Below are 13,411 nucleotides of genomic sequence, written 5' to 3' on the forward strand. Positions count from 1 at the left end.
TTATGTGACAAAGAAAGCATGAGAAAATGGAGAAGAATTATTTTACAAATGGTATTGAGATATTTTGGAATCATACTCATAATAAATTTTAGATGAGTTCAGTAGTGTATAATATATACACACACAAACACATATGCATACATACACACACTTTGAATAAATATATATGCATACAGATATATATGTATACATGTGCATGTGCATATGTGTATATATGTGTGCATTTGTATATATACATATAAACTTTTTTAAGTAGACAAAATATTTGAAAAGATATTTCACAAAACAAAAGATATTTCACAAAACAAAAGATATTTCACAAAACAAAAGATATTTCACAAAACAAAAGATATTTCACAAAACAAAAGATACAGATGACAAATAAATACATGAAAAGAGGCTGAACATCATTAGTCATAAAGAAAATGCAAATTAAATCATATCTATTTATTACTACCCATTTTATATATGGCGAAAACTAAGAAACATGCTCATAACAACTGTTGACAAGGGTGTGAAGAACTGAAACTCTCATACATGGTGGTGAGAATATCAAATGATAGAGTCACTGTGGATACAGTTTGACACTTTCTTAAAAAGTCCAAGCTAGACCTACTGTATATCCCAGCCATTTCACTTCAGTGTAATCAACCAAGAGAAATGAAAAGTCTTGTTTATATGGAAATCTGTGTATTGATATTTATATAGGCTTTATTTGTGATAGTCCCAAATCGAAAAAAGAATCCAAATAACCACCAACAGATAAATGAATTTAAAAGTGTTCTATGCTCATACAGTCGATAACTATTCAGCAATAAAATAAAGCAATTATTGATATGTGTAGCAACAAGGATGAATCCCAATATAATAATGTTTAGTGAAAGATGTAATATGCAATATAAAATAGAATATATAGTGTGGGATTACAGTTATATAAAACTCTGGGAAAAGGCATAATTGCAGAATGCAGAGAAGTGATTGGGGATGATGAAGGATTAGGCCAGGGTGGAAGGCAGGATTACAAATGCATATGAAACTTTTTGAAATGATGGATATATTTACTCTGTCTATTGTGGTCATAGTTTTACAGGTCTGTGCTTAAGTCAAAACCTATCGAACTGTGAGCCAGGTGCAGTGGTCCATGCCTATAATCCCAGCACTTTGGGAGGCCAAGGCAGGTGGATCACCAGAAGTCAGGAGTTCAAGACCAGCATGGCCAACATGGCAGAACCCTGTCTCTACTAATAATACAAAAATTAGCTGGATATGGTGGCATGCACTTGTAGTCCCAGCTACTTGGGAGGCTGAGGCAGGAGAATCGCTTGAACCTAGGAGGTGGAGGTTGCAGTGAGCACAGATTGCGCCGCTGCACTCCAGCCTGGGTGACAGAGCGAGACTCTGTCTAAAAAAATAAATAAATAAAATAAAATAATTAAAATATAAAAAATAAAACCTATCAAACTGTGTATTTTAGCTATGAGCTGTTAATTACATGTCAATTTTATCTCAATAAAGCAGGTAGAAATTTTTAAAAATATATATTGTAGGCTGGGCGTGATGGCTCTTGCCTGCAATCCCAGCACTTTGGGAGGCCGATGTGGGCCGATCACTTGAGGTCAGGAGTTTGATACCAGCCTGGCCACCATGGTGAAACCTTGTCTCTACTAAAAATACAAAAATTATCTGAGTGACGTGGCACGCACTTGTAATCTCAGCTACTCAGGAGGCTGAGGTAGTAGAATTGCATGAACCCAGGAGGTGGAGGATGCAGTGAGCTGAGATCAAGCCACTGCACTCTAGCTTGGGCGACAGAGTGAGACTCCGTCTCAAAAAAAAAAAAATTATATATATATAGTGAATAAATCACGAAATTTGGAACAGTTGAGAGAGTTTATATACAATGCCATTTAATTAAGAAATGCTAATATGATAATATGATGGGATTAGGAAAAACTAACATGACATCACCATATGATGAGACCTAAGGTAAGGTTAATGCAGAAAATCTATACCATAAACCCCTGTATTCTTTCTTGAGATGACTAAAGCTAAAATACAGAGGTAAACACAATCAGTTGAGAGATGATTCTTAGTGTATATATGATTAACATAAACCATTTGTTTAAGATGAATCAAACTTTCCCTGGTAGTGTGTATTTAGAAAATTATAGTTTGTCCAAAAGAAGATATTATATAATATATTATACTGTCAGTAATAGCTTAATTACTGTACCTATACATACTATAAAATATGTATACTTTGTTACAACATCTTTTAGTGCAGGAGAATAGTTGTACTACATTATTACTTGATATAAGTCTTGCAAGAAAAATTAGACATCATATAAATTGAGGTTATAGGTACCCATATAAATTACTTCAATAAAGCACCTTTCAAATGAAAGTTTAAAGCCAAGTAACTTTACCAAGTTGCCAAGATAAAGTTTTTGCAAACTATAATTACAGATAATGAAACACTTTGATTTCTTAGAGTCTTGCTAGTTATATGTCAATTAAATAACTCATTTTGTGGTCCAAAATTAAAATTTTATTTGCTTTTATATTGTGTTGAAGGAGAATAAATTATATTACTATTGCTCACCTGAATTAGAGAAGTATATAATTATAGTAATTTGTTGTTTTTCTATGGATGCATTGTTCACATTTAGAAGACTACCTGTTTTGTGTAGTTGAACTACCAATTCATTCTACTAAATCTGTAGGGTTTTTGTTGTTGTTGCTTTTTATTTCTTATTTATTTTTTTTTTTATTGAGACAGAGTCTGGCTCTGTCACCCAGGCTGGAGTGCAGTGGCGCTATCTGGGCTCACTGCAAGCTCCGCCTCCCGGGTTCACGCCATTCTCCTGCCTCACCCTCCCGAGTAGCTGGGACTACAGGCTCCCGCCACCGTGCCCGGCTAATTTTTTTGTATTTTTACTAGAAATGGGGTTTCACCGTGTTAGCCAGGATGGTCTTGATCTCCTGACCTCGTGATCCGCCCGCCTCCACCTCCCAAAGTGCTGGGATTACAGGTGTGAGCCACCGTGCCCGGCCTAAATCTGTAGTTTTTAAGTCCAAAAAATGTATATTTTTGAGAGAGTTTAAAAAGCAAAATGCTGGCATACTATTTCTGCTTATTTTGATTCAGTGATATTTTGTACAAATTTTTTCTCTGGATCAATATCAAGCCATTTATAAGGAACTCATGCAATTTTGACTGTAAATATCCACAGGGACAAATAGTGAGAAAAATAATTAAAATTGTAAACTATAAGTGTGTTATTAATCAATGAATTTAACAAATGATTGAAACTATAACCATGGTGAACTGTTGATGATATTACCTGAGGACTGCCAGATTTTCATACAAAATACTGATTGACTGAAATACTTTACTTTTCTAGTAAGCTAATCAATTTGTACTCTTTTAATCTGGTTCTTGGCTTTCAAACAAACAGATATTTACTTGTTACCTATATTTGCACTGCACTCTGGGATCAGAGTAAAATTACGGAACACTGGCATTCTCAAAACTTCACCAGTGCAATGGAAATACTGGATGGGTATTTAATGTAAACAATTTTTGTCTGAAGTTATCTTTGTTTTAAAACAGAGAGTATGTATTTAAATTATAACATCGATGCAACTTTTACTCAGTGTTGAATTTTACTGAAAAGATATTAGTGTTATAGGATTTGAAATGAAAAATTATCTGAATCTATTTATAAGGTATTCTTGTGGATATTAACTTGGAAGCTCAGGTTTTTTTTCTGTTTCTTAGAGTTGGGACAGAATTTGTGGGTGCTAAGGTGAATGTTATTAGAGAGACAATGCTATGACTTCACAAAGGCCAGCCGTCTCTGGGGATCAAGAGATCCACGATGACAGTCACCCCCCTCTACCCCACCAAGGCCTCTAAAGAGGATAATCATGCTTGTACAATTTTCCAAGGATCCCGCCAGCACTATATCTATTTATGTTCAGAGCTTCAGAGGGAAGAGCATAGTACTTATTCTGACAACAGGAAGATTCAAGCTGAATCTCTCCAACCCTTTTAAATCTGGTTTTTGGCTTTCAACCAAACAAGTATTAACTTGTTACTTACATTTACACAGCACTTTAGGATCCAAGATTAAAATTATAGAACAATGGAATTCTCAGAACTTCACCAGCCGAAATGAAATACTGGGTGGCTATTTAAAGTAAATCATTTTTTGTAAAGTTATATTTGCTTTGAATTAAATGCCTTGTTCACTTGTTTCCCTTTGGAGACACATGCATATATTTAGTTAGCTGTGTACAAAGTTGTTTACCACAAAGTGTTAGTTCTACACCAGATTTATTATTTAACTTCAGATTGCATTTTATTTAAGATAGAGGAATTTTAATTTATTCATTGAAAATAGATCAAATTAGAATTTTTTTCTATATGCTTACTTTGGTTTCAAATTCCTTAAATATTTTTTAATTACACTATGAGATGGTTTGTGAGCAAATTCGCCATCAGTACTGCCTGCAGATAATGAGTTAATATACAAATGCAAAGTCCCACTGTTCTGGGATAGTGTGACATTTAATGCCAACCAAAATGTACTGGTGCTCTGACCTTCAGGGTTCTTGCAGCATATGGGAAACTTGTAAATTTCCAGCACCATGTCTAACCTAATAAAGATGGATTCAAAGAAGAAAAGAAATAGAGAAGCTAGTCCATTTTCTTCTTCATATAAATTTTTCTATTTGTGTCAAATTTAACCAGAATTAGCAATAACATTTACTCTTGATTATCATTGAAAAACATTTTCAAGAATGGTAATTTAAAAAAAGAAAAAGAGAAATAAAAACAAGTTATATGTTTTCTCATACAGAAAAATAATTCACATCCTATACATTCATTAATTTAGCCTTGCCAACTACAACAGTGAAGTTGTTTTCTTTCCTGATTTCTATGTATATATAGAAATATATATCTATATATTTATATATAGATATTTATATATAGATATTTATCTATCTATATACACATCAAGAACACTTTAAACTTTTACTGTTGAAAGAGTATCAAATATGTGAGTTGCTAGATTTTAAGACATTGTATTCATGAATTGGTTTGTGCATGCATTTTGGGTCTTTAACTTGATTATAAAATCCTCATTGAAAAGCATTCACTTCTCTTATATGTTTATAATTCCAGCTCCTATCTCCCTGATTAGAGCATAAATGCCTCCTAACTGTCCCTATATGTAATTTTCCTTCCTTCGGTCTTCATCACAGTAGTCTCCCTTAAAGTGGAGCTCTGATCCCATTACTTCCCTCTTCTTGGTGAAATAGGGAAGAATCATCACCTAATTTTGAGTACTGGTTAAAGTCCATGCCATTTTCCTACCAATAAACTATGAGCAAGGGCTCAATGAGGGTGACATCAGCCTAAGTGCACAGGATTCCCTAACAAGCTTGTCACCTGCCTAAAGTGACTGAGCAGGCTGGGCGCAGTGGCTCACGCCTGTAATCCCAGCACTTTGGGAGGTCGAGGGGGGCAGATCACGAAGTCAGGAGTTTGAGACCAGTCTGGCCAACATAGTGAAACCCTGTCTCTACTAAAAATAAAAAATAAGAATAAAAATTAGCCAGGTATGGTGGTATGTGCCTGTAATCCCAGCTACTCGGGAAGCTTAGGCAGGAGAATCGTGTGAACCCAGAGACGGAGGTTGCAGTGAGCCAGGATCATGCCATTGCACTCCAGCCCGGGCAACAGTGCGAGATTCCATCTCAAAAAAACAACAACAAAAAAAGGGACTGAGAAGAAAATTAGTCACACAGAAGAAATTAGTTTTATAGGTATCTCAAGGAGCCTATATAAGTGATTTTGGATTCAAAGAACTTTACAGCAAGGTAACTTCGATTGTGTCTAGTTGTGTTAACCTCTACAATATATTATTAAAGCAAGCATTAGGCTTTTCCAAAGTTAAACGATTCTTGTCACTGAGTCTGCTGTGGCTATATAGCACAGTTTGTGAGGGGACAGGGGAAAGTCTGCCAAAAACAAGAAAACAGAAGCAGCCATAGAGAATTAGGATCTTATTGCTCTAGATGAGCCTCCTGACACTCCACTCAAAAACTTAAATGTTCCTAGTTACCCAAAGAATAATGGTCAAATTTTTTCACTCACTTTAAAAGCATTATGTGTCTTTTACCCATTTTGCTGCATGATGATGTAGTCAAAAGGAAGAATTCGTGTTCCTGATGTAGTCTCTAATATTCACTACCTCTGCATATTTAATTGTACGCTACATGTATGAACTTTGTTGTGTAGCACATTATATTTATTTGTAACTCTAGAACAGCTTTTCAGCCACAGTTCATAGAAAATTAAGGACCATTATTATTTTCATTTATCCCATGGAAGATGCATTTCTAGGATCATTCCAGATGCTTAAGAGATCAATCAATTTATTAAATGTATGCCTAGTACAGAAAGGAATTCTCTCATGAAAACTCAGTTGCAAAGATCTGCTTTGAAACTAGATTAAATCCAACTTGAGCACCCATCTTCAAAAATCAAAGAGAAATCTAATGTCGGCTACTTTGACCTATCTTTAGATCTATACAAGGGACCTGTTTGGAGGCAATAGGGTTTACCAGATGTGGTCACTGCAGCTGCATTTTTCCTTCCAGTCATGCAATACTGCTATGAAAAAAATCTGACACTGATGCTCCATCGGAAGTGGTTTTTGTTTTGGTTTGGTTTTTATCATACTAAGAACACAACATGAGATGTACTCAAATTTTTAAGTGTGCAATATTGTGTTGTTAACTATAGGAACAAAGTTATACAAATCTCTAGAACTTAACCATCTTGTATATCTGAAACTTCATACCAATTGAATAGCTATTTCGCATTTCCTTCTCCCTTCAGTCTCTAGCAGCCATCATTTGACTTTGTTTCAATGAATTTGACTATTTTAGATATCTCATATAAGTTGATCATGCAGTATTTGTCCTTTTGTGACAAATAACCCAATTTAAAAATAGGTAAAAAATTTGAATAGCCATTACTTCAAAAAATATTTATAAATGGCCAAGAGGCATATGAAAAGATGTTCAATGTGACTAATAATCAGAGAACCAAAAATCAAAACCACAGTGAGATGTTACTTCATACCTGTTAGCATAGTTGTTATAAACAAAAAAAGAAGTTCTGGCAAGGATGTGGAGAAATGAAACACTTGTACACTGTTAATGGGATTGTAAAATGTAGCCATGATGAAAAGCAGTATGGAGATTCCTCAAAACATTAAACATAGAACCATTACATAATCTAGCAACCCTATCTCTATGTAGATATCAAAGAAAATGAAATCAGAATCTCAAAGAAATGTTTGCACTTTTGTGTTAATTGCAGCATTATTCACAAGGCCATGACATGGGAACAGACTTAATATCCATTGATGAGTGAATAGATGAAGATAATGTGGTAGCTACATACAATGAGATATTATTCAGACTTAAAAAGAAGAAAACCTTGCAGCTTGTTACAACACAGATAAACCTGGAAGAAGTAGAATAAGTCACTGAAGTGGGTTTTATTTCCTGACTTTTCACCTTAGCCAGTGGGCTATGCTAGTTTATGTGCTTCTGCTTGTCATATTCAGCTATAAGTGACCTTTTTATATCTTAAAGGGTCATAAACCTTGCTGATTATTCACCAAAGGAACATCCGATTTATCTCTGTAAAGGTACTGCCATCTCCTTAGAAGTGCTCCATTCCATGAACCTGTGATGCACAAACAATCTGAAACCGTGTCCCTTTCATACTAAAGGAAAGTCAAGTTGCTTTTTCTCATTCATCAAAAAGCGTCATTTCCTTCCTCATCTACAACAACTTCGTGATTTTATTCCCTCCATGGTCCTGGACCCTGAAATCCATGAGAACTATTTAGAAACTATCTTTAGGTGGACTCACTAGGTATTCATGGTTTATCCCTTCTGGCTCTGAATCGTAAAAAAAAAGAAAAAAAAGAAAAGAAAAGAAAAGAAAAGAAAAAAAAGTTTACTCCCATTGTGGGGTATTAAAGATTTTCAATTTGAGTAAATGCATCCTAAGGGGTAGGCTCTCCATTTTATGCCTTATGTGGTTTTGCACACATCAAAAACGCCCAAACATTTTGTGTTGAACAAATACATAAGTAAGTGTAAAACATTCTCAATGATATCTAAAATAGAGTTCAGAGCTGAACTATTCTTTTAATCCACCATTCTGACCCCAGAGATTTTGGGAATTACCACATTGAAAGCAGCTTGTTTTTCACTTTAACTCAGAATGCTGCCTGATCTCTCTGATTCTGTCTTCATCAGCTAACACCAAACACACTGCTCACTGTTTTATCACTGTTTTCACTTCTCTCCTTATTTCTGAAGCTTAGTTCCATTTTGCATGCTATTATTTATGACAGTTTAGAAAGCTCTTCTGGTATCCAAGGTTTCCTTAGGTAAACATCTTTTCTGATTTGACTAATTCTTGGGACCATTTCTGTCTGACTCATTTCTTAGGCAGTTGTATCCCCAGATTTATTCTAAACTTTGAAGTGTTAACACTCAATAATAGGGACTCTGCTTATTCACCCCTGTATTTTCAGCATCCAGCTTAGTGCCTGACACAAGTATGTTTATTTTGCTTGCATTTAATAGTAACAAAACTTTCCCTCATCTCCCAAGGCTATGATATGATTTTTTAGTTTTAACTACTTTTTATTTTTAAATAACTAATTCAACCTAATATTAAGATAAAGTAAATAATCTGAAAGATTTTCCTGATCCAAAGTACAGAAAATTTTCAATCTCTCTGTCAAGAGTGAGGCAACACTAAGATGTTGCACAGCAACAAATGAACACAAGTCCCCATCTCTTTCAAAGCAGCTCTGGTTCACAGAAATGCCTTCTGGCAGAGTTAACAGCAAATTGCATCTGCTGCCCATGTTGTGGTCTCGGTTATTTCACCTGATTGCCATGAATACTGATCTACAATTTCTATTTATGGTGCATTAGTCAGCTTGGGCTGCCGTAACAAAACAATAGCATAAATGGGTTGGCTTAAACAACAAAAATGTATTTTTTCACAGTTCTGGAGGCTTAGAAGTTCATGATCAATTGCTGGCTGATTCAGTCTCTGATGAAGTCCTTCTTACCCGCCTGCAGACTATCACCTTCTTGCTATGTCCTTACACAGCAAAAAGAGAGAGATCTCTTGTGCCTCTTTCTTTTTTTATAGGATCAAGGCTCCACTCTTATGACTTTATTTAAGCTTAATAACCTTCTTAAAAGTCCTGTCTCCATTATAGACACCTGGGGTGTTAAGACTTGGATATATGAATTACAGAGGGACACAGTTCATTCAGTCCAAAGCACTTGGTTACTTTTCTGACACATGCCTCACACAACTAATGAAACTTTTCAGTGAACCACCAGTTCTCAATATAAGCTGCTCTCAACAATCTTCCATTTTGAATAAAAAAGTTAACCTGAGGCTTTCTTCACTCATGTTTCTCTAGTTCCCAACATGGCATGACCAGACTTTGATTCTGCTAATTACTATGTTGAATTGGGCATGACAGTTAAGGGAACATGCATAGTCTAACCATAGGGATTCCTATGTCTAAAGAGGTAGAATCACGCTGTGGAATATGGGTTGTATCCCAGCTCCGACCCTTTGCCAAACAAAAGTTAGAGAAACTAAACTATTTTGTTTCATCTCTTACTAAGGTGAGGGTGGGTGTGAGGGAGAAGATATGTTTATGATGTATATTTGAGTTTAGGAAAATGCTATATGTGCTGAGTGGAGCCAATTATTACAACTGTGATTTTGAGGCATACCTGATTTTGAGAAACTATCTTTAATGAGAGAGACAACTAATACACAGAGAAAACAGGAGCATCTAAGAAATAAAGACATAGTTATGGTGTAGACATTGGGTATGGTAAAAGTTAAATTGGGAAGAAGATATATATATAATCCATCAAATAGAAAACATCATTTCATGAGTTATCACAGGTTATTAAATTGCAGGAGGTGATTAGTTTATTTTGTTCCAAACCATGTCATGTAGAAATCTGAAATTCTTCTTTTAGTGTTGACAACTTGGTTGGAGAAATTTTATGCTCCAGATTAATGACTTATGTATTAAAAAATAAAGTGTTCGAGAAGGTGCTACTGCTGTTGATCCAAAGTAGTGAAATATATTTAACATGAGTTTAAATATACTTAACATAAGATTGTGAAATACATTATACATAGAAAGGAATACATATAATTATACTAAAATTTAAGAAAAATAACAATAAAATGCCTGAAAAGGAGTTACATTGTTTTAAAAAATTTCATTGAGGAATATTTGACAATTAAAAATTGTATATATTTAAATTATATAATTTGATGGTTTGCTACACATATATATTTTGAAACAATCACCACAATCAAACTAATTAACATATCCATCACTTCAGATTATTGCTTTTTAAATTTTTTTGGTAAGGACACTAGATATTTACCGTCAAAGGAAATTTCAAGTATACAATAAAGTATTGTTAACTATCAATATATTATTTTACATTAGCTCTCCAGGACTCAATAATTTTGCATAACTGAAACTTTTTACTCTTTGACCAAGAACTCCATACTTCTTCCATGCCTACTTTCTGCTTTTTAAGGGTTGAATAGCATTCCATTGTGTGTGTGTGTGTGTGTGTGTGTATGTGTAAAACTGTTTTTATCCACTTATCTGTTGAGAGACATTTATTGGCTGTTGTGAATAATGCTGAAAGAAGGAGAGTGCAGACATCATTTTGGGATCCTTGTTTCATTTCCGTTGGACATATATCTAGAAGTGGAGTTGCAGAATCAAAAGACAGTTCTATTTTTAATTTTTTGAAGAAATGTTATACAAATGTTCTACTGGTTGTGCCAATTTACATTCCCACCAAAACTGGACAAGGGTTCCCTTTTGTCCACACCCTTGCCAATACTTATTTTTCGTCTTTCTGATGAAATAAAATGCCTTGTAACAGATTTTAGAGGGAAAATTTTTATTTGTTCCCCATTAATTATGCTAGTTGTGGGCTTTTAATATACAACAATTATTGTGTTGAGGTAAGATCCTTCTATACCTATTTTATTGAGACTTTTAATTATGAATGGTGTTAAACTTTGGCTTTTTTTTTTTTCCTGTATCTATTGAGATAATCATGCATTTTTTCTTCTGTTAACATTGTATTGGCTGGGCACGGTGGCTCATGCCTGTAATCTCAGCACTTTGGGAGGCCAAGGTGGGCACATCACCTGAGGTCAGGAGTTCAAGACCAGCCTGGTCAACATGGTGAAACCTCATCTTTACAAAAATACAAAAATTAGCCACGCATGATGGCAGGTGTCTGTAGTCCCAGCTACTTGGGAGGCTGAGGTGGGAGAATAGCTTGAACCCAGGAGGCAGTGTTGCAGTGAGCTGAGATGTCACCATTGTACTCCAGCCCGGGCGACAAAGCGAGACTCCATCTCAGAAAAAAAAAAAAAGAAAAAAGAAAAAAATAGACAACATATTGTATCCTATTGATTGATTTGTGTAGGTTGAACCATCCTTGCAACCTTAGGATAAATCTTGGTTACTTGGTTATGGTATATGATCCTTTTAGTGTGCTGTTGAATTCTGTTTGTTAGTACTAAATTAAGAATTTTGCATCTATGCTCATCAGGGATAATGGCCTATGGTTTCCTTTTCTTTAATATCTTTCCCTGATTTAGTGTCAGAGTTACACTGACCTCATAAAAAGAATTTGGAACTGTTTTCTCCTATTTTGGGGAAAAGTTTATTAACTCTTTTTGGATGTTTTGTAGAATTTACCCATGAAGCCATAAAGTCCTAAGCTTTTCTTTGATGTGAAATTTTTGATTATTGATTCAATCTCCTTATTTATTATTGGTCCATTTAGATTTTCCATTTCTTTCTGATTTAACTTTGGTAGGTTGTATATTTCTAAAAATTTATCAATTTTTTAGGTTATTCAATATATTGACATATTATTTTTATAATAGTTCCTCATGATTCTTTTATTTCTGAGGCATCTGTTGCAATGTGTCCTCTTTCATTTCTGATTTTATTTATTTGAGTCTTCTCTCTTTCTTTAGCTAGAGGTTTGTCAATTTTGTTTTTCTTTCAAAAAAAAACTTTAGTTTTCTTATTTTTTTTACTTTTTTGTTCTCCATTTTATTTACTTCTTCTCTAAGTCTTATTATTTCTTTTTCTTTGCTTATTTTGGGCTTAGTTTATTCTTATTTTTTAGTTCCCGGAGGTATAAAATTGGATTTTTATTTTAGGGTTTTTATTTTTAATGTAGGCATTTTGTATTATAAACTTTCCCCTTATTAACACTTTTGCTGTTTTGCATAGGATTTAGTATATTTTCTTTTCATTTTTATTTATTTTAAGGTACTTTTTAAATTCTCTTTTGATTTTCTATTTGAACCAATAGTTGTTCAAGAGTGTGTTGTTTAGTTTCCACATATTTGTGATTGTATTGTTTCGTTTTCTTGCCGTTGCAGAATTCTAGCTTCATTCTGTATTGGTGGGAAAAGCTACTTGGAGAGGTATTTATTTTTTTCAATTTGTTAATATTTATTCTGAGACCTAACATGTGATCTACCCTGGAGAATGCTCAGTGAGTGCTTGAGAAAAAGGTGCATTCATTTGCTGTTGGGTGAAAAGCTCTGTATATATCAGTTAGATCCATTTAGTCTATAGCGTTGTTCAAGTAAGCTTCTTACTGATTTTCTGTCTGGATGTTCTAGTCATTGTGTAGGTTATTAAAGTCTCTTTTTTTTTTGTCAATTTCTGCTTTCATATCTGTCAATATTGCCTTATAGATTTAAATGCTCAGAAATTGGATGCACATATAGAAGTTATTTATTTATGTATTTATTTTGAGACAGAATCTCACTCTGTTGCCAGGCTGGAGTGCAATGATGCGATCTCACCTCACTGCAACATACACCTCCTGGGTTCAAGTGATTCTCCTGCCTCAGCCTCCTGAGTAGCTGGGACTACAGGCATGTGACATCATGCCAAGATAATTTTTGTATTTGTAGTAGAGACGAGGTTTCAACATGTTGGCCAGGAAGGTCTCAATCTCTTGACCTCATGATCCACCCACCTCAGCGTCCCAAAGTGCTGGGATTACGGGTGTGAGCCACCGCGCCCAGCTTAAGCTTCATGAAAACTAAGATGGCCCAGTTTTTGAAGGTCAATTGAGGTTAATTTTAAGATTTGGATACCACCTACGTCTTTACCCACCCACTTGCAATATGATGACATGGGCTAAGTGTAGGATTGGTGTTCCCACAAACATAAATAATAATGTGGTAAATCCT

The sequence above is a fragment of the Homo sapiens genome, chromosome 3 (genome assembly GCF_000001405.40).
Source record: "Homo sapiens chromosome 3, GRCh38.p14 Primary Assembly".
NCBI lineage: Eukaryota > Metazoa > Chordata > Mammalia > Primates > Hominidae > Homo > Homo sapiens.